The 21943-nt window shown below is 54.0% G+C and overlaps 1 long non-coding RNA gene across 1 annotated transcript, besides 3 other annotated features; it reads left to right on the forward strand.

Annotated features, from left to right (window-relative positions):
* On the forward strand, positions 60-19112 carry LOC101927495 (uncharacterized). Its single transcript, NR_110189.1, has 4 exons — positions 60-181; positions 8459-8545; positions 14084-14167; positions 17061-19112. It is a non-coding gene; the product is annotated as an uncharacterized LOC101927495 (long non-coding RNA).
* Positions 69-647: an enhancer, noted in NCBI's record as "H3K4me1 hESC enhancer chr11:61355975-61356553 (GRCh37/hg19 assembly coordinates)". NCBI's record gives its function as "activates a minimal SCP1, AML or CMV promoter by ChIP-STARR-seq in naive H9 embryonic stem cells {active_cell/tissue: H9 hESC(naive)}" and the evidence as "EXISTENCE:reporter gene assay evidence [ECO:0000049][PMID:30033119]".
* Positions 10925-11592: an enhancer, noted in NCBI's record as "H3K27ac-H3K4me1 hESC enhancer chr11:61366831-61367498 (GRCh37/hg19 assembly coordinates)". NCBI's record gives its function as "activates a minimal SCP1, AML or CMV promoter by ChIP-STARR-seq in naive H9 embryonic stem cells {active_cell/tissue: H9 hESC(naive)}" and the evidence as "EXISTENCE:reporter gene assay evidence [ECO:0000049][PMID:30033119]".
* Positions 12261-12928: an enhancer, noted in NCBI's record as "H3K4me1 hESC enhancer chr11:61368167-61368834 (GRCh37/hg19 assembly coordinates)". NCBI's record gives its function as "activates a minimal SCP1, AML or CMV promoter by ChIP-STARR-seq in naive H9 embryonic stem cells {active_cell/tissue: H9 hESC(naive)}" and the evidence as "EXISTENCE:reporter gene assay evidence [ECO:0000049][PMID:30033119]".
* Positions 19113-21943: the final 2831 nt, after the last annotated feature.

Consider the following 21943-nt stretch of genomic DNA (forward strand, 5'->3'; position numbering starts at 1 on the left):
GCCTGCCAGAGGACGGGCAGCCGGCAGGGTGGAGGGACAGGTGGGAGTCACGCCAGCTCCAACCAGGTCTAGAACCCAAACCTTCAACCCCTGAGCTTTCCTGCCTTCGAGTCCTCGGAGCTCTCCTGGAGGCTGAGCAGGCAACAGAGCCTGCTCCTCAGCTGGATGTGGCCCGTGGGAGGTGAGGGGGCGCAGAGGCCGGGCGCCCTGGAAAGGAGGAAGAATGAGGGACCCCCAGCTCCGTGGCTGCTTCATTTCCTGCTCTCTTCCTGCTCCCACCCCTCCCAACGGTGGGCGTACCCCAAGGCTCCGTCCTCTCTTCCCTCTTCTTTCTCACCCACTCTCTTCGTGACCTCATCCACGCCCACGGCCTCAGCTTTTGCTTCATCCCCATTCCCAGCACTGTCTCTGGGGCCCTGACCTCCCTCCCAAGCTCCGCAGCTGTGTACTTAGTGAAGCCTCTCCACCAGGTGGAGGAAACATCACCTCCCTGGGGTCACCCCACAGCTGCTAAGGCCCCATCACTCTCTCAAGCTCCACATCGGTTCCCCAAATCCTCCCACTGCTCTTCCCCCACACCTAATTACTGTCCATATCCTTCAGACCCTTTTCTCTTCCCAGCCTCTCACACCCTGTTCTCAGACTCCTGAGCCACCTCCCTAAGTCAGACACTCAAGCCGATCAGCCTCCGCCTCACCTGGCTCCTGCCCAGTCGCTTGCCTCCCCCAGTCTTTTCCATCCAGTGCCCTCCCTCCTCGTGGTTTTCTTTTCTCTTTTCTTTCTTTTCTTTTTTTTTTTTTTTTTTTTTTTGAGACAGAGTCTTGCTCTGTCACTCAGGCTGGAGTGCAGTGGCAGGATCTCAGCTCACTGCAACCTCCATCTCCCAGGCTCAAGACATTCTCGTGCCTTGAGCCTGAGTAGCTGGGATTACAGGCGCCTGCCATCATGCCTGGCTAATTTTTGTGTTTTTAGTAAATACAGAGTTTCGCCATCTTGGCCAGGCTGGTCTAGAGCCCAAATGATCCGCCCATCTTGGGCCTCCCAAAGTGTTGGGATTACAGGCATGAACCACCTCGCCCGGCCTCCCTGTGGTTTTCTGAGACACAAGATCCAATTGCTCTGCTGGCTTCTCAGCCCCCGGGCCTTCGATGGCTCCCCATGCCTGCAGAAGGAGCAGGTTAGCCTGAGATGGAGTCTGCCCCAGGATGACTTTTGACTTCCTCGTCTTGCCCAGTGCCCTGCCTTCAGCTAAAAACTGAGTTTCTCCCTATGGGTTTCCACCTTTCAAAGCCCATCTTCACTGTCACTTTGTCCAGGGAGCCATCCCTGATTCTCCCAGGTGAGTCTGAATGCTCCTCTTCTGTAGCCCCATGGCACTTCTCAGCATTTCGGTGATGGAGTTGTCTACGCTGATAGCATTTATACAGCTCTTCAATCCTGCTTTCTGTCCACCTCCTCCACCCCTGCAATGGACTGGGAGCTCTTTCTGGGCAAGGATCGCCCGTTTACTATCCATCTTTATCTTCCTCCTCTCAGGTTTTTTATTGATCCATTCAGCAAACATTAATGACGTAGCTGCTATGTGCTAGGCACTGCATATACAGAATCCTGCTCCTTCTCTGGGTAATTGTCATACAGTGCGACAAGTGCATTAACAGGTGGATTCAGGGAAACATGGCCCTGGGCAAGGATTTCTCCAGGCTCCCGAACGCCAGGCCATGGCCTGAGCACCATTCGGGCATGCAAGCTTAAACAAGACCAAGCCCTGCCCTCCAGGATGGTAGCTGTATAAAAACAATAGGATGTGTACAAAGGCAGGTCTGAACACAGTGCTTTGGGACCACAGAAAGCAGAGCAATGACCTTGGCCCTGGGGAAATCCTGAAGCTTCCCAAATGCCCAGCACCTTGCACCAAGCAGTAGCCTCGTAAATCTTTGCTGAATTAAATTGGTTACAGGAAGAAAGGGGACATAATAGAGACTGAAAAAGAAAATTAAGGTTATTGGGGCCAGGTGGTGGGGGATGACAGAGCATTTTCACATCTTCATGAAGTCGCTTTGTCACCCATCCCAGAGGGATGTCTTGTGGACAAATGAGATCATGGACGTGCAGTGCTCTGAACACCTGGGAAGAAAATAACTGTACAAATATCGGGGCTATTATTAGTCCATCCCCATCAGACCAGATAAGTCCTCTCCTTGTGGCCTCAGTTCCCTCATGGTAATATCAGCTGTGCCCTGTGGCAATTTGCTTCTCTCTCTGGGCCTCAGTTTCCCCATCTGCAACATGAGGACATACCATGAGATGATTTTGAGGGTCTCTGGCTCCTCCAGGGAGATGCTCCAGGGACAGCTGTGTCTGACTAGGGGATGCCTTTGGTCCTCTCTTGACTGCCACATCCTGGGCTGAGTTGGGGAGTCCTCATAATGTCACAAAGGCCACTCCCTGTCCTGTTTGTCTTTCTGGTCAAACAAGGCCATGCAGAACATGAGGCAAGTGTGGGCTTCTCGGCCGGAAGTTCCTCTCTAATTTCTGGGGAACAGCCTTAAGGCCTGTTTTCTGAAAAAGACCTCTGTGTGAGCCCCCTCCCTCCACTCCAGGTCTGAGGTCTGGATTCCCCTGGGGAAGGCCCATCCCTCTCCAAATCCCCATTGACCTCTTCCTTTATGGCCAGAAATGTTGGGGTGCAAGATGCTTCAGTGAAAGGGGATGGAAGCTGTAGTGAGAGAGAAGCTTCTCACACAGGACTCTGATGCATGCTCCCCCATGACCTGTCCTTAGCTGAGGCACCACCACAACCCTGACCCTGAAAGCAGAGACCTTGGCCATGTCCCTACTTTCCCTCTTTTCCTTACCTGGCACATTTCATTGGTGGTGAGTCCTGGTCTTTTTCCTTCCTGGCTCCAGTCCTTTCCAGCCTCCCCTGCCCCTCATTCATGGCCCTAGCCCCGGTCCTCCCAACTTGCATCGACCTCCTCCTTGGGCCTCCTCCTCTGCCTCCAACCTGGCTCCCTTCCCGTCCACTCTCCTAAGGGCAGCAAAGCGCAAGTGTGACGAGGTTTCTCTCCAGCTCAAAGCCCTTCCATGGATCCTTAACTGCTCTTAGGAAAAAGCTCAGATTCCCTGTCTGGCAGGCAGGGCCCTTCCTGACCTAACCAGAGAGGCAAAGTCATCTTTGAGAGAGTTCTGAGGCTGAGAAAAAGCTCACTAAGGGATGGGGGCGTGGGGAGCATTTCAGGGACAGGGAAATGTGATTTCAAAGGTGGGGAGATATGATGGAACCTCCCATCTGGGAAAAATCAGAAAGCAGATATGGCAGGAGGCTGGAGTGAGTGTCCAGGGTGTATTAGGTACACCTAGTGTGTTCCAGGCTCTGTTCTCATGCTGAAGATGCAGCAGTGACCAAAACAAACATCCCTGCCCTCAGGAGCTGGCATTTAGCAGAGGAAGGTGGCAATCAGCAATGAGCAAAAGAAGGAAATGTTATAGTGTGTTAGAAGGTGATGAGTGTTGTGGAAAAAGAAAAGGTGGAGAGAAGTGAGGGTTATCTGGGGGTGGATTGCAATGTTGAGACAGGGTGGTGAGGACAGGCTTCACTGAGAAGGTGGCATCTGAGCAAAGACTTGAGGGAGGAGAGGGATTTAGCCCTGCAGTTGTCTGGATAACAGTGTACGAGGGAGAGGGAACAGCCAGTGCAAAGGCTGTAGGGTGGGATAATGCCTGGTTTGTTGGAGGAAAGCAAGGGGGCTTGTGGGGCTGGAGCAGAGGGAGGATGGAGGTGGTCAGGAGAGTGTCAGGGGAGAGGCGAGGACAGGTCACTGTGAAAACTTAGGGAGATGGGAAGCAACTGGAGTGTTTTTTGTAAGAGGAAGGACATGAGCTGGTTTATATTGTAAAAAGATCACTCTGGGTGTGTGTGTGTGTGTGTGTAGGGAGTGGGGATAGCTGCAGGGAGACCAGTCAGGGGACTGCTGCACTAATCCGGGCAAGACGTGATGGTGGTTGGAATCAGGGTAGATGCTGTGGGGGTGGTTGGGAGGGCTTGGATTCTGGATCTATTTTGAAGGCAGAACCAACTGGATTTCTTGATGGATTGGACGTGGGTTGTTTCAAAAAGGGAGGAGCCGAGATCATCGCGTCCAAGGCTCTGGCCTGAGCCATGGAAGGCTTGGATTGCCATTGGCTGAAATGGGGTTTGTGTTGGAGCAGCGCCCTTTCTCAATCAGTTTTTCACTATCACCCACCCTCAGGAGCCTTTTAAGACGTTTTTCTCTAATCACTTCTCCCTGTGGCGGATTTTTTTTTTTTTTTTTTTTTTTGATGGAGTCTTGCTCTGTAGCCCAGTCTGGAGTGCAGTGGCGTGATATGGGCTACGGGCTCACTGCAATCTCCACCTCCTGGTTTCAAGCGATTCTCCTGCCTCAGCCTCCCGAGTAGCTGGGATTACAGGTGCGCACCACCATGCCTGGCTAATTTTTGTATTTTTAGTAGAGATGGGGTTTCATTGTGTGGCCCAGGCTGGTTTTGAACTCCTGACTTCAGGTGATCCACCCACCTCAGCCTCCCAAAGTGCTAGGATTACAGGCGTGAGCCACCGTGCCTGGCCCACAATGGAATTTTACCACCATAGCTATAATGTATACATGTTCATATACTTTGGCCCTTTGGAAAATTACAAACCATTGTAATATCAATATTTTTCTGTCCCCCCAAGAACCAATTTTTGCCCACTGGGGAAGGTGGCATCCTGTGGAGAAGGCATGTGTTGGAGCGAGTTTTGTAAGGGAGAACAGGTGCTCAGCTTGGCACATGTTGGACCTGAGCTATCTAGTGCAGGGAGGGGACGCTGAGTGGACAGTGGAACATGTGAGGTCCAGACTAGAGGTATGGATGTGAAAGTCATTGGTGTATATATGCTGTTGCCATGAGACTGGGTGAGCTCACCAGAGGAATGAGGAATGAGATCAGGACCAAAGTCTGGGCTTGGGGCACCCCATGTTGGGCTGTCTGGAAGAAGAGAAAAAAACAGCAAAGGAGACAGAGAGGGAAAGGTGAGAGAGGTAACAGAAAACCAAGTGAGTACAGCAGGTGGCCTAGAAGCCCAGTGGAAAGAGTGTTTCAGGGAAGAGGGAGGGCTACACTGCCAAATGTCATGGGGTCGGGGGCAAGTGGCAGAAAGACTGAGAACCCACAGCTGAGTTTAGCCATGGGGAGGCCCCTGGAGATCTTGATAGGAGTATTTTATTTAGTTATTTATTTTTGAGATGGGGTCTCACTCTGTCACCCAGGCTGGAGGGCAGTGGTATGGTCCTAGCTCACTGCAGTCTTAACGTCCTGGGCTTGAGCTATCCTCCCACCTCCCGCCTTAGCCTCCTGAGTAGCTGAGATTTCAGATGTGTGCCGCCAAGCCTGGCTAAATTTTAATTTTTTTTTTTTTTTTTGAGACAGAGTCTCGCTCTGTCACCCAGGCTGGAGTGCAATGGTGTGATCTGGGCTCACTGCAACCTCCGCCTCCCAGGTTCAAGCAATTCTCCTGCCTCAGCCTCCCGAGTAACTGGGCCTACAGGCATGTGCCACCACACCCAGCTAATTTTTTGTATTTTTAGTAGAGACGGGGTTTCACAGTGTTAGCCAGGATGGTCTTGATCTGCTGACCTCGTGATCCGCCCGCCTCAGCCTCCCAAAGTGCTGGGATTACAGACGTGAGCCACCGCGCCCAGCCTTAACAATTTTTTTTGTAGAGACAGGGTCTCACTGTGTTGCCCAGGCTGGTCTCGGACTCCAGGCTTCCAATCCTCCTGCCTCGGCCTCCCAAATCGTTGGGCTTACAGGTATCAGCCAACATGCCTGGCCCATAGGAGTATTTTTGATAGAGTGGTGGGGATGAAAGCCAGATTGGAGTGGGTTTAAGAGAGAACAGGAGGAGAAGAACTGATGATAGTGGATAGAGACAACTCTGGGAGGAATTTTGTTGCAAAGGGGAACAAGGAATTAGGTGGCAGCTGCAGGGGAAGCAGGATCAAGAGCAGGTATGTGTAAGATGGGAGGAAAAACAGCCACTGACAGGAATGGTCCGGTGAAGAGGGACGGGATGACTTGCTGATCAGAGGGACTGGGCTCTGGTGCCCGCCTGGGGTGGTGGGTGAGGGCAGGCGTGGGCAGTCATCTCTCCTAGGACTCGGGGAGACAATGTGTGGGTGCAGAGGCTGGTGGGGGCGGATGTGTCCGTGTAAATCTGGAAGTACTTCTGAGAGACTGGATTGTCTTCAGGGAGTGAGAAACAAGGTCAACAGCTGAGAGTGAGGACGGGGGAGGGTGGGGTGGGGTTTGAGGAGAGGAGATCGTGAGAAAGCATGAATCGCCCACGAACAAGGGAGGGTGAACAGACTCAGTGGTAAGTGTGAAGAATCGCCAGCCGTGAGCCTTTCTGCCCCACTCGGGCTGGGGTCAGCTGCCCACCTCCGGGCTCCCGGGGCTCCCTGACCCCACTGAGGTTTAAGCCTTTACTGCTGTAGGAAAGGGTTACCAGCAAACCCCGTGCAGTCAGGCAGCCAGCATTTGAATTCTCCTCCCGTGCTCACTGGCTGTGTAACCTGGGCAAAGTTTTTGTTTGTTTTCGTTAATTGTCCGCATGCCTCAGTCTTCTCATCTGTAAAGTAGGGGCGGAAGTAGGAGGAAGCACTCTGTGTTATTGCTATCCTCTACTCTGTTGTTGCTAGTTTGTACTGAGGAGGGCTCAGTGAATGCAGAGTGAAGGGTGAATGAGGGGAGGGGAGTTTGCTTTGGGCCCCCACATGCCAAGGAGTGGGCAGAGGAGGGCAGGTGTCACAGCTCTGCCCCTGCGCACGGACGACTCCGACTCTTTAACCCCAGGGCTCAGCTCCCATCACGTGAACTGGGATCCCTGAGGAAGCTCTCAGGTGGGCGGCCACCAGCTGAGAACAGACCTCCCAGTGCAGCCCAGGACAGTCCCTAGCACAGCCCAAGGCCAGGACCACACTGGCCACTCCCTCCCCAGAGCCCACTAGTGTAGGGAGGAAGACAGGGATAGGTTGGCCCTCTTCCCCAACCCCCCCCTCAGGACATCCTCCTCAGCCTGGCCCTTCCTGTTTTTCCTCCCTGGCCCCTGGAGGCCATTTCCTCCAAGGAGTCAGGGAAAGGTGTTGCTTTGTTTTCTCCTGAGCCCAGAGCTTTCTGGACTCATGAACCTCGGGATCTGGGCCTTTGAAACCCCCTGGAAAATAGACTTGCTGTCTAGCACCGCCCCAGAGGCCCTGATGCCAGGAGTGGGGTGGGGCTCTGCTGAGGGTGTGGTCAGCGTGTGTGTGTGTGTGTGTGTGTGTGTGTGTGTGTGTGTGTGTGTGTGTAGGGGACAAGAGCATTCATGGGGACAAATGTGGCTTGGCTGGCAACAAACCACGGCAAGACCACAGGTTGGGAGCTGGCAGCCCTGGGAGGGGGCTCACAGTCCTGCAGGGAACCTGCTCTGTCATGCCCAGCCAGGGCCTCTTGCTCCTAAAACTTTACCCTCCACCCTACAACCCGGAGGTAGCAATAAAGCCTCCCTCACAATAAAGAGCCACAAGGAGCAGGAGCTAATGGGCAGAGCGGGCACTGGAGACTGTTATGAGAGCTTCAAGGTTCCTCACCATTCCTCTGTGCCTGCTGGGGAGGGAACCACTAAGTGCCACATAGTGTGAGGCTGGGCTGGTGGTAGGGGCAGATGAAGTGCTCAGCAAGTCTCCAGCCTTGCCCTTCATCCCCTTAATGAACCAGCCAGCAACCACCAGAAGCTTCGTTCTCAGGCCCCAGTGGAGGTTGGTGCCTGCACTGACGCCTGGCTGCCCTGATCACTCCTGTGTCCTATAAGCTGACTGGCTAATAGAGCACAGGATCTCAGGAGCCTGGCAGAGCCTGGCCACTGCCCCGTCCCCACCCCTTTTCTCATCTGGGATGCCCAGCCCTGCCCCTCAGCCCCTCCCTCTGGGCATCCCAGAAGAGAAAATTTAAGTATCTCAGGTAGGGTCATGGCACAGGGTCCAGGAGCAGTCTTCAAGCTGGGAGACTTAAGTCATCACTTAGCAATGCCCTTCTTGTGCCGTGGGGGAAACCAAACAGAAAGGGCAGTGGACTTGTCTAAGGCTGCACAGCCATTCTTTCTAACATGGCTGGTGGCCTCCTTCTGCAACAGGCAGACTCTGGCTTCTCTTCAGGGGCCAGTGGAATAAAAGAGGTCATCCCCTTTCTGCCCCTGCTACTGATGTCAAGCCAGAGCAGCATAGTATAGCGTGATAATGACTGTTCCATTTTGTTGAGGACCTACTATGTGCTGAGCAGTGTTCTAGATGCTAAGAAGACAGTGGTGAATGAGACAGAGTCTGTCCCCTTGGAGCTAATGTTGTTGCATTAAATTCTTGTAACACCCTATGTGGTAAGTGCTGCCATCTCCATTTTACAGGTGGAGAAACTGAGGCTCAGATAAATGACTAAGAAGTAAAGTGAGGTCCCATAGCCAGTGAATGGCAGAGCAGGGATTCGAACCCAGGTATGTCAGACCCATCCATAGCCTGGCCTCCTAACCACTGTGATACACCAGAAAGAGCCCTGGTCTGGGAGCCTGAGACATGCATGGGTCACTCACTGGGGTGACCTTTGGCATGCCCTTCCTCTCCTTGGCCTGAGTTCTCTCATGAGTAGGTGATCCAGGCGGTTCCTTCCAGCATTTCTGCAATTCTGGAAATTGAAAGACCTGGAAATCTGGCTCCCCGGAAGATCCAGGCAAGAATGTCTCTTCTCCCTGTGAGTGCATCCAAGTTGGTGGGACAGGAGCCCAGCGTGTAGGGGAGGAATAAAAGCTGTGGTCAGGCTTGGACCGCGACCTCCATGGCAGCCTGGCCTGGCTTTGTCACGGTCCTTTAAGTTATCCTGCATTCCGTTCCCACCACTGGGACTGGATACAGAAGGCCCTGTTCTAGTCCTGCCTCGGCCTCCTCTAACTTGCTGTGTGATTGGGGAAGTCTTGGCCCCTCTCTGGACCTCAGTTTGCACCTTTGCTGGATAAGACCATTCCTGATGTCCCCCTGGCTCTCTGATCTAATCCCATAAGCTTGTTGAGCCCTTCACTGGGGCCCAGCCCTTTCCGGGCATTGAATTTGGCCTAGAGTGTCTGATGGTCAGGTACTCCACTCCCACTCCTCACCTCCGCCTCCCTATAAACCAGGAAGGGAAGAATGACTTGCTTCAAGCTGGTCCTGGGGTTCCCCTCCCACCCTCTGCCCCCCATTTCCCCATGCCTAGTCTCTGAGTCCTCAGCCCCACCATGAAGGCTGTTTTCTTTCCCCGTTCCCCTCCAGCCAGTGAGGTGGAGGTGGGAGTAGGGGGAGAAAATATAGGGGAGCAGCCAGAGGATCACGACAGGTAGGGCTGGGGGTTGGCAAGGGCTCTGCAGAGACCACGCTCCCCTGGAAAGGCATTTCTCATCGTGGGCATGCCTGCCAGGTAGTGGGAGGACCATTTCTTTCTTTTCTTTTTTTGTCATCATCCAACGTGGCTGGGAGTGAGGGGGCTGAGGGAGAAAGTCTCCTGAGATGGGAGAGAAGCCAGGGGTCTGCGGCTGGCCTGGGCTCAGATTGGTGGGCAATAGCATTCAGTGTCTCCCCCACCCCACTTCCCCCTGCAGACCCAGGCCCAATCCGGGCTGCACCCCTAGCGAGGCAAGGGAAGGGCTGGGCCTTCTCTTCTCTCCTCCAGGTCTCTCGTAAGAATGACATAGGAGCATAAGTGCCCCACCCCATTTGACAGATGAGGCTGAGGCTCAGAGCAGAGAAGTGACGGGCAGGTTAGGTGCATGTGGTAAGTGACCAGCCATCTGGGAGTTATCGGGCCTCTTCCGGCAGGAATAGGGGTCTGGGAAGCCCACCCAGTGGGAGATAACTATCTGTCCTCCTTTCTTAGTGGGGTGGGGAAAAGGCAGTCAATAGAAGAAGAAAAGAGGCCAGCCTGACTCCTGCGAGTTCCCAGAATCTATGTGCTGTCTCCAGACTCCAGAACTCTGCCTGGGTGCTCCCACTTTCTGGAACTGCTTCCCCTATCTGGCTAACTCTTACTCGTTCTTCAAGTCTCAGTTTAGATGTTGCCTCTTCCAGGAAGCCTTCCCTTATTTCCCCAGGATTAGGTAGCACTGCTGTGTGCTCCCACTGCTCCCAGGGTTTCCCCCATTAGGGCATGAATCACCTGCTTTGTCGTATTTCTCCTCCTCAGACAGGGAGCTCTTTGAGGGTAAGGCTGTGCCTTGTCAGCCTCTAATATCTATCCCCAGACCCAGTGTGGAGCTGAATACAAAGCTGGCCCAAAGAGCTGTTTGTTGAATTGGTGAGTGACTGAATGGGCATCTATAAAGATCAACTATTTGTCAGTCCTGTGCAGGGGGGTCCAATGTAAAGGAGGCCCCCACCCCCCTGCAGTACCCACCTGTGCAATGGCCCAGGACGCCTTCTGGACAGAGCCTGGACAAGGCGAGGTGAGCTTAGAGAAGGGAAAGATAGCTTTGGAGTAGGGATACTGGGAAGCTCTGGGAAGAGGTCCAAGAGTCTTGGTATGACAAATTGTTTGGGGCAGGTTTAGGGCTGGGGGCTGGTTTAGTGACCTCAGAAGAGGCTGCTTTATCCAGAGCCCAGGACTGTGCCTAGGAATGGACCAGTGAGGGGGCCGGCTGAACAGGGAAGCTGAGTCACGTTCTGGAGAGCCATTTCCAGGTGAAACCAGAAAGGGCAAGCGTCATGCTCAAGGCAACACAAGTGGGCCACAGCTCCCAGCCAGGGCTCTGTGCCACCCATGCCCCGCTTCTGCCCCCTGGCAGCGCCCTGGCTCTGAGTGAACAAGCTGCCCCAGTCCCTGGGGATGCACGCAAACCAGGAGGAGGTGACAATAAGGGCTTATCAAATGGCTTGTAGGAGGCAGCCACAAATTTCAGCGGCTGTGTAATGTGGGTCTAATGTTCACTTAGCAGAGCGACAGCCTGAAAAGTCGGTGCCCGCGCTCTGTCCCTGCTGCGGCCGAGGCTGTTGAAGCCACAGAAAGCGAGTCACTCAGCAGACATCAAGCTCTGCGCTGGGGCTGGTGTAGGTGGGGTGTGGGGCTGTAAGAAGTCTGAGTTTCCAGACGCCAGACCATACTGGCGGCCCCAGCTGGCTGCTCCTGGGGGAGGAAAGGAAGCTACATTTTTGGTCTTGGAAAGGCCAAAAGCCCGGAGTCAGAGCTGCCCATCTACAGACGGGGAGGGGAGGAGGCGTAGCCCTGGGGAACCCACCGCTGAGTGACTTGTTTTCGCTTTCCTCACGAGCCTCTGCTGTTTCTCTGAGTGCCCTGGGATCCCTCCTCTGAGGGGCAGGAGGGGAGGGGTCCTGCCCTGAGCCAGCCCCCAACTACCTACCCTGGAAATGAGTCCCCACCTGGGCCACATGGGGAGGGACTGAGCTCAGGGCTTTACTGAAGGTCAAAGCCTCTCCTTTCTGAAGTCCAAAGAGGCATCCTCACCTCTGAGCCCACCCACAGGGCCTGGGGGTCTGCCTCTGCCCCGTCTTCCTGTGCGACTCCAGGCAACTCCTCAGCCCTTTCTGGGCCTCAGTTTCCCCATCTGTTAAGTGGCTGGAAAGGTCTCCAAGCTCGTCCTTCTTCAGAATCTTGTGAATGATGCATAAGGCAGCTGCCCACACCCTCCCTGGCCCTGCTCTGCTTTTCTGTCCTGCGCGGCATGGGGTCTTTGTTTTGTTCATGGCAGTACCTGCAGCCCTGGAGCAGTCCCTGTTGCATAGTAGGTGCTCAGTAAATACTGGTGGTTTTTAAACTCCCAGAAGCCACCCAACCTCCTCGCTGCAGGTCCCTTCCTCTTGGAAGGGTTTCTGATTCATCCCCTTCTCATTCTCCAGGTTCTGTTTTGTCCCCTCCTAGGCTGGGCTGCATTACAGACTCCTGTGCACGTGTTGGTATGCAAATCTGGAAGCCTCCCCCCTGTTTCTATTCCACCTTCTCCTTTCCATCGTGGGTGCGTGGGAGCCATGTCTTCTTTTAGATCCCCCTGGCGCGGCTAGGATGAGTGCCAGGGCCTTGGTGGTACAGCCAGTGCTCCATAGAGCTGTTTACAGCCTGCCAGTGATTCACCCACAACAACTGAGAGAAGGCTCTGCCCAGGCGGGGCCGAGGCCCAGGGGAAGCAAGGGAGACCATGTCTTCAAAGCCCACTGGGATCTGGAAATAGGGGCCTGAAAGACCTCTCAGAATAGCTTTGGCCTAGGAGAACAGGGATTGGGATGTGGGGGTCCAAGCTGGGCCAGGATTGAGAGAATTTGTTCTGGCTCAAGCCTACTGATTCATTCATGTCCAAGCCTTTTTCAGCATCTCTCCCTGGGCACCTTGGGCTGACAGCTGGGGGCTCTGCAATGAACCAACCTGAGTCTGGGGCTTCAGAAGCTTGTAGGGTGATGGAAAGGGGGCTGGGCATCATGAGCCACAATAGAGACAGCCACGGGTGACGTGCAGGTGCAGCCAAGGTTGTCATTCATTCAGTGGGCTGAGGCTTCATCGAGGAAGGGCTGTCCTAGCAGAAGAAACAGCACATGCCAGGACACAGAGGCCACGCCCAGCAGTGAGTGGTTGGATGCGAGGCCTGCCTTCCTGTTCTACATGGCTCTGGCCACCCCTCTGGTTTTTTTTATCTGTAAAAGTGGAGGTGGTAGCCAGGCATGGTGGCTTATGCCAGTAATCCCAGCACTTTGGGAGGCCGAGGCGGGTGGATCACCTGAGGTCGGGAGGCCGAGGCGGGCAGATCACCTGAGGTCAGGAGTTCGAGACCAGCCTGGCCAACATGGCAAAACCCCGTCTCTACTAAAAATACAAAAATTAGCCGGGAGTGGTGGCACATGCCCCTGTAATCCCAGTTACTCGGGAGGCTGAGGCAGCAGAATCGCTTGAACCCAGGAGGTGGAGGTTGCAGTGAGTCAAGATCACTCCACTGGACTCTAACCTGGGCAACAGAGCGAGACTCTGTCTCAAAAAAAAAAAAAATGATGGAGGTGGTGTTGCTTGAGTAGGGGGTTAGAGGTTGTCCTAAAAGTTTCCCATGGGCCTCTCCAGCTCTGACACGGGGATTCTGTGGGAGTGAGAGGAGGCGAGCTGCTGACAGGGCAGGGATCTGGGTGACAGTGAAGTCCTGGTGGCTGGGCAGGGAGGACAAACAGAGCTGTCTGTTTAGGCAAGGAGGGGAGCTGGGAGGAGGACACTGCCAGCCAGTTGGACTGTCTCTCCAGGCCTAGTGTTTGCCGATGGAATAAGGGAGTCAGGTGTGTCAACAGTGGGGAATGAGGTGGCTCTGCACTACACACACACGGGCTGTCCCTGGACTAGGCCATCAAGAGGGCCATGTAGGACACTGGCTGGTGGGAGCCCATGGAGCCCAGTGCACTTGCCCATTGGGTGCTCAGATGGCTCAGCCCAGGCCGCATCTCTCTCCAGGCCTCTTCCCCTGTCTCTCTGGCTCAGCTTGAGGAAAGGGGCAGGGGCGTGACCCATCCCACTCTGGGAGGGGAGAGAGCCTCCCACCTGCTCCTGACCTCTCCGGGCTTGCTCCCCTGGGGACATCCCACCACATGAGTTCTAGTCTTGACTCTGCCACCAACTTGATGAGTGACCCTGGGAGTCCCTTCCCTCTTTCAACTTCAATTTCATTACCTGAAAATGAGAGGCTGGGAGAGAGGTTTATGAGCAATTTGCCAATGGGACCCCATCTTTGCTTCTACCAGAGCAGTTCCGATTTAAGCAGTTTGCCTGATGAGCCCTTTGAGCCCTGAGCAATTGCTGAGTGTCTACTGCATGCCAGGTGGGCACAGAGTCATGTGGGGCAGCCAGGTTTTCCAGTCTCAGTGTGTTCCTTCTTTAGAAGGGGAGTCTTCCATCTCCAACTGTACACTGGGGCTACGTGTGGTTCTGCAGTTCTGTGAGGAGACCCAGAGTCATACGCACTGTGGTTCATACCCCAGAGCTGCCATTTGCTAATGGTGTGACCTTCTGTAACCCCTTTGTGCCTCAGGTCTCTCATCTGGGAAGTGGGATGATAGCGCCAACCTAGCTGGATTGCTGTGACTGCCAGCACAATGCCTTCTAAGGGTTCAAGGTGGGTGCTCAGTAAGCTGCTCTCATGACTACCAAGGATCCTGATGGTCCTCCCAGTTCTAGGAAGGGGCAGCCATGCAGAACAAGTCTCAAAAGCCAGCAGGAGCAGGAGAGGAGGATTGAGAACCCCCAAATTGATAGGCAGCCTGGGGCTGGGTGGGGCAAAAGGTACTGGAGGTGGTGCCTCTGCCCTTTCCCCTTCCACTGCACCCCGTCCACACTCCATAGAAGTCAGCAGTTCAAGTGTCCTGTAATGCACCCCACACCCCAACACACAACACACAGGAGCCCCAGGCCTCAGATGGGAAAAACACTGTCTGGCACTAGGTCTGGTTGACTGGAGAAGTGGGGAGGGAGCCAGGCAGTCCTTCCATCATGCAGATGGAGAGACCTAGAGTCTCAGGCGTTGGGAAAATGAGTCATTTAACATCCATCAGGACCCAAGCCTCCTGAGCCCCCAGCCTGGACCCCTGCACCCCCTCTAGGGAGCAGAGTGAGACACAGAGCTCCCTAACACTAGACCAGGTGTCCCTTAGCTCCGCTCTTCTAGGAGGCTCCCTGAGCACACCCTCTGCGGAGCCTGACTCCCACAGGAGAAGCAGATGGTGCCAGAGTCTGCTGGGAACTGGCTGTCCTGGAGCCCAGCTGTTGCACAGATGTGAGGGGGGAGGGTGGAATGGGGGTTGCGAAGGCAGGAACGCTTGACAGCTCATGCCTGAGTCACCCATCAGCTCCGGGAGTGGTAATGAGCAGATTAGGGTTATTACAGCCGAATGGCTCAGAGCGCACTTGCTCACCCGAGCAACCATCGGCGAACGGCTGATCGCCCACGACTGCCACGGCCGTCATGCCAGGCCCGCCTCTCCCTTGCCCTCTCATTGACTGTGCCGCTGCCAAGGCAGCCTCTGTGGCCTTCACACGCCTCATTAGAGCTGCTGGGGCATGCCCACCAGCCCATGGCCCAGACATCACCCCACCCACTCCTCTTCCCAGGTGTGTCAAGGGGGACACAGGAGTCTGACCTGGGGCCTCGATAAGTGGGCACAGTGATCCCTGACTAGGGAAACAGGTGTATAGTTCCCCACCCACCTAGAATTGGGGCAAGGACAGGTATGGCAGGGATCCAGCCTCCAGGGCCAGTCCTTGTCTGTCTGGTCACCTAGCAGGGGTCTAAAACCAGTGAGGTCCCTCTAGGTCTGGGCCAGGGACACGTCAATCTCCAGGGAGGGCGGCTCCTCCTTCCCCATTGGGCCCATGTTGTCCCCTCTGCTCCCTCTCAGAGCAGGAAACAGAAACAATCTGTCCCAGCAGCCCAGGGCTGGGAGGCGGGGCTGAGGGTCACAGGTAGTAATGATAATGAGTAGCAAATCGCAGAGACAGATGGACGCTTACTATGTCCTAACAGGCACTGAGTGCTGGACATGTGTCTATCCACTTTGTCTTAACAATAGCCCCATGCGTGAACAGATTGAGCATCCCGAACCCCCAAATCTGAAATCCAAAATGCTCCAAAATTCAAAACTTTTTGAGTACCCACATGACTGACGCTAAAAGGAAATGCTCGTTGGAGCCTTTCGGATTTCAGATTTGGGATGCTCAACAGATAAGAATAACATAAATATTCCCCAAAAAATCTGAAATCCAAAACTTGTTTTCGTTTTTGTTTTTGTTTTTTCTCTGAGACGGAGTTTGCTGTTATTGCCTGGGCTGGAGTGCAATGGTGCGACCTCGGCTTACCGCAACCTCCACCTCCCGGATTCAAGCTCCAAGCAATTCTCCTGCCTCAGCCTCCCGAGTAGCTGGGCTTACAGGCATGCACCACCATGCCTGGCTAATTTTGTATTTTTAGTAGAGACGGGGTTTCTCCATGTTGGTCAGTCTGGTTTCGAACTCCTGACCTCAGGTGATCCACCTGCCTTGGCCTCCCAAAGTGCTGGGATTATAGGCATGAGCCACTGCACCCGGCCCGTTTTTTTGTTTTGTTTTGTTTTGTTTTCTTTTGAGACGGAGTCTCGCTCTGTCGCCCAGGCTGGAGTGCAGTGGTGTGATCTCGGCTCACTGCAAGCTCCGCCTCCTGGGTTCATGCCATACTCCTGCCTCAACCTCCCGAGTAGCTGGTAGTACAGGTGGCTGCCACCATGCCTGGCTAATTTTTTGTATTTTTAGTAGAGACGGGGTTTCACTGTGTTAGCTAGGATGGTCTAGATCTCCTGACCTTGTGATCTGCCTGCCTCAGCCTCCCAAAGTGCTGGGATTATAGGCATGAGCCACCACGCCCGGCCTGCTTGTTTTTTGAGATGGAGTCTGGCTTTGTTGGCCAGGCTGGAGTGGGCTCACTGCAACCTCTGCCTCCCGGGTTCAAGCAATTCTCCTGCCTCAGCCTCCCAAGGAGCTGGGATTACAGGCACCTGTAAACACGTCTGGCTAATTTTTGTATTTTTAGTAGAGACAGGGTTTCACCATGTTGGCCAAGCTGGTCTCAAACTCCTGACCTCAGGTGATCCACCCACCTTGGCCTCCCAAAGTGCTGGGATTACAGGCGTGAGCTACTGTGCCCAGCCTGTTTTCTTTTCTTTTCTTTTCTTTTTTTATTTTTTGAGACAGGGTATCGCTCTGTCATCCAGGCTGGAGTGCAGTGGTGCAATCATAACTCACTGCAGCCTCAGCCTTCTGGGCTCAAGTGATCCTCCTGCCTCAGCCTCCTGAGTAGCTGGGACTACAGTTGTGCACCACCACACCCAGCTAATTTTTTAATTTTTGTAGAAGTGGGCTCCCACCTCAGCCTCTCAAAGTGTTGGGATGACAAGTGTGAGCCATGATGCCCGGCTCCAAGTATTTCTGATAAGAGATATTCAACCTGTATTGTCGTCATCATTGTCATATCCATTTTATAGATGAGATTACTTAGTCCCAGATGGGTTAAGTAACTGGCCCAAGGTCACAGCGCTGGTAAGCAACTGGGCTTCAATCCAACCATCCTGACTCCAGAAGCCTCTTTGAACTACCACCTTCTGCACCTGCCCCAGGGCTTCTTCGCCTGAGCCGGTGCCTTGCTGCCGCCCTGCTCATCTCTTCTGGGAAGATGCCTCTCATCTTGCCAGTCCTCAAGCCAGAAGCCTCCGGTGCTGCCCTAGGGCTCCCTGAATAGGCATCCCTAAGGCATCCCTCCTGGTGTTCAAACCACATCCTTCCTGGCTAAGCTTCCATTCCCCAGGGTAGCCCTCCACACTTTGGAGCCTCAGCTCACCTCTCACTCTCACACTTCAGTTTCACACTTCCCTTCTGAATGGTCCCACCTCTGTGCTTTTGCTTAAGCTGTGCACACTTCCCAGAGTGCTCTTTCCCCTATGTCTGCCTGTGCTCCAATACCCTATGCCTGAGCTGACCCATGACATACAAGCACCTACAGAGGCCTGGGGGAAGGAGGCAGTGGTATGTGTGTCAGTGTGGGGAGTCAGTGAAGAGGTTTGGGGCTTTAGGGTCAGTTATGTGACTTCAGGGCAAGTCCCCATCTCCCTGAACCCCAGTTTCTGCAAAATGAAGATATCCATCCCAGCTTCTCCCAAGGTTTATAATGGTAATCTGTGAGGTTCTGGCACATGATGAATCCATAACTACCCGTTGTGACAAGTTCCCCACTTGTGAAGTCAAATGAAGACCCCCTGGTGTTGACAGTGCAGGAAAACCTGTGCCCGAGCACCTTGTCCCTAGGGAGAACCCTACCTTCAGTGCCTCTCTGAACAACAGGGCCAGGAAGGGGTCACTGTATAGCAGTTGGTCCCTAGTGACCAGTCCTGGCAGAGGGCCTTTATCCCACTTCCAGTAGCCCAGCACCAACCATCCCCAGCTCTGGGAGGGGGTGGGCAGCACCCTCCTTCCTCCACATTGTTGCCACCTCAGAGAGTCAGAATCCAGGGAGACAGTCTCCTGGCAGCGGAGCTCCTGCTGCCCGCCATGGGTGTCTGTGATGCTGCCGTGCCCACTGGGGGCTGCAGGCACTCCAGCATCAGGATGGACTAAATCTCGGGAGTGGGAAGGGGACTCCAGCCAGGGGCACTGGAGACAGGGCCAGCCTGAGTGCCTGCTTCTCCCAGGGGCAGGTGCCAGCATGGTGCACCCCTCAAGGAGTGTGGCAGGTAAGATTGAGGTCCTGGCTGCCCCAGGCTCCTGTGCCATCGAGAGGGAAAGCACCTGGAACAGGTATACAGTAGATGCTTAGTGATGAGGAGAATCTTCACTTGGTGGAATTCTGAACACTTTGGGTACCACCAGAGTCAGAATTCCCAGAGGAGGAGGCAGGCATTTGATAACGGATGTCTGGAGGATATAGCATGTTCAACCTTCCCCTCTCCATGAGAGGAAGTGGTGACCTCAACCCCAGCACCCTCCTCTGCCCATTCACACCCACCCACTCCCACCTCTCTGCCAGCCTCAGTTGGATGTGGAGCAGAATGTAATGAGGACTTACCTGTCCACAAGGACTTCACAACTGTTCCAAGGCGATGGATGGGCAGGTGCTAACGCAGCCCCTCAGTGTCCCCCTTCCCTTGCTTTTGGGGTGGGCTTGGGGCCCCCGGGGGGTCCTAACTCACTGAAGATACCAGGGCCCAGCTTCTGAGTATTCCTAGAGGCCATTTCTACCCCTAGAAACTTTACATGGAGCCAAAAGCCCATTTGAAGCTCAGTCTGGGCCAGGAGAGGCTAATCATAAAAGGGATATTTTTTAAGTGTACAGAAATAAGAATTTATTTTTGAAGACATGATTTATATTTTGAATGGCTAATGCACTCACATGATTCAAAATTCAAAATTCCAAAAGAACCGACAGTGCAAAGTCGCTCCTCCTTTGGTCCCCACCACCCAGTTTCCCTCTGCAGAGGGAACCTTGTTGCCAGTTCTTGTGTATTCTTCCAGAGATCTTCTATGTATAAACCGTCATCCTCCTAGGAATTCTCATTTGTTATCCTTTTAAAATGCACACACATCCTGCTCTGTACCTGGCTTTCTTCCCTTAAAAACACATCTTGATTATTGTTCTATGTCACTTGCAAAACAGGTTCCTCATTCTTATTTTGTGGCTGCAGATGACTTCATTGTATGGAAGGACTGCACATTATTTAACTGATCCCTTATTTTTTGTTTTTTGTTTTTTGAAATAGAGTCTCGCTCTGTCACCCAGGCTGGAGTGCAATGGCACAATCTCAGCTCACTGCAACCTCTGCCTCCCGGGTTCAAGTGATTCTCCTGCCTCAGACTCCTGAGTAGCTGGGATTACAGGCACGCACCACCACGCCCAGCTAATTTTTGTATTTTTCATAGAGACGGGGTTTCACCATGCTGGCCAGGCTGGTCTTGAACTCCTGACCTCATGGTCCACCCACCTTGGCCTCTCATAGTGCTGGGATTACAGGCCTGAGCCACCGTGCCCGGCTGATCCCTTATTGATGCACATTTAGCTTGTTTCCGTGTTTGGTAATTACATGAAATGTTGCAATAAATAACTTTGTACACATCCCACTTCAAATGTGTGCTAGCAGACCTGTGGGAAATTCCCAGGAGTGGAACCGCCGGGTTAGACGTGGCTATGCACAGTTGCGAAGGAAAGGAGAGGTCGGATGGCCCTCCTTGGAGATTACACCAGGCTACACTTCCACTGGCCTTGTCTGCATCTGTCTGGTCCCCATAGCTTTGCCAGCAGTGTTATCAAACTCTGTGAGCTTTGCCAGTCTGATATTTGAATAATGGTATGTCAGTGTGGTTAGACATTTTAAAACAGCAATTATATTGGTGGCTGTTTACCGAGCAGGAGTACGCCATGCCAGGCACGTTTACATATGACATACTGCTCATTCCTCATGGGGAGCCACTGGAGGCAGAGAGCAGTTGCTCCATTTTATACAGGAGGAAACTGAGGCCCAGAGAGGTTAGGCACTTTCCTACAGTCCTTATAGCCCTGGGAGCAGCATGGGAGTTCGAACCCAGTTTGTCTGACTCGGGCCAATTCTCCTTCCTTATTCCAGGCTGCCTTTCAGTGACAGGCTGCTGAGGACACCCTAGGCCAGGAGCCACCCCACCTGGCCCACCGAGGCTCTGGACCCTCCCAGGGCTATTGCTTCTCTGGAGTTGGGTGATGAACAGAGGGTTGGACCCCCCAAGCCCTGCATGGGGGTAGAGGCCCTCCCTGAGAAGGACCTCCAGAGCCCAGCTCTGCTCTCCCAGGGTGTGGTTCCATGGGAGGTGGGCTCCACTGGTCCTAAGCTCTGGGCAGGTTGGCATCCCCAGAGGGCAATGCTGACAACACCTCCCTTGGCACCCCCAAGGGTTCGTTTCTCAGCAGCAACTTCCAAAGGCTGTTCCCCCAGGTCTCTGTCCCTTTCCTGAGCCCTCCCCTGTCCTTCTCCAGGCAACCCACAGCCCCAGCAGCCTGTGCACATTTAGCGCTGGATCCCTGATCCCTTGGGCTTGGCCTCACTCCTCTCTGGCTCCATGCCCCCAGATCTCTTTGGCATGACCAACAACTGGCTGGCGAGCCCAGAGATGGGGGAAGAAGGGCCCTGAGCCATGAGTGCACCTCACTGCATGGCCCTGGTCAGGTCCCTCTGCCTCCCGGGGCCTCACTGTGTCCACAGCCTCCTGCACGCCACGAAGCACCTCCCCGATGTGCCAGCTCCCCCAGCACCAGCCTCATCCCAAGGAAGGAGGAGGCGACTCCCACTACTCAAGGGGCTGTTCCCCATGGCACCCCTCAGGCCGCTGCAGGAGACTATAAGCCCCTCACAACCGAGGCCATTTTCCCCACTCCCTTCCCCGCAAGCCCTAAATGGCCCAGCAACAACTCTGAACTCTGATCTCGGTCAGCCCAGCACGGGTGGGGCAGGAGGTTCTGTCAACAGCGAGAGAAACTCGTTAACTGAATGTCAATAGGATTAAAGGCTCTGATGGTCCAGGAGAAAAATGTGACGTGACACATCATGACAGATGCGTGGAAGGGCTCCCGGGGGGTGGGGTCCCGTGTGTGTGTGTGTGTGTGCGTGTGTGTGTGTGAGAGAGAGAGAGGGGGAAGGGAAGCAAATACATAGTAGCAAAGATGAGAGAGACAGAGACAAGTGACAGAGACAGAGAAAGAGAGAAAAGCCAGAGACAGATGATAGAAGGAGAGAAAGGAAGGCATGAGAGACCAAGAAAGGAGAAAGTTAAAAAAAAAAAAGACTGAGAGAGACAGAATCCCAGATACAACCAGAGAGATAGAGCAAAAGAAACCAGAGAGATAGAGAGATTGAAGGAAAGAGAGAGAGATAGAGAGCGAGAGAGAGAGAGAGAGATTGAGAGAGAGAGAGAGTGCCCACGCACATGCCAGCAAGGGCGAGTGTGACAGTGCAGAGGGATGGGGGAGGGGACAAGCAAGTTTGTAAATGAGAGGAAAATTAAGATTGAGCACTGAGAAGAGTTCTGCCCTGGGAAGCCTTTTGAGGAAGCCATGGACGGTGTCCCCAGGGACTCAGAATGGCAGCTTTGTCAGTCAGGCAAGGACGAGATGTATCAAGCACCCACGGCGTGTCAGGCTCTGCTGTGGTTGCCAGGGGGCAGGCAGGAGCTCGAAGAGCAGAGAGAGAGGGAGGTTGACTCTGCCTTGGGGATTCTAGACTTACAGAGGACATGGGAGGAGCCTGCAGTCCAGAGAGGCTAGGTGAGGCTGACCAGGTGTTGGACCTGGGACTCCTGGCCTCACACTCACCACGCAGTACCACGGCACCGCACAACTGCATGGGACACGCGC

Source organism: Homo sapiens, chromosome 11, assembly GCF_000001405.40.
Source record: "Homo sapiens chromosome 11, GRCh38.p14 Primary Assembly".
Classification (NCBI taxonomy): domain Eukaryota; kingdom Metazoa; phylum Chordata; class Mammalia; order Primates; family Hominidae; genus Homo; species Homo sapiens.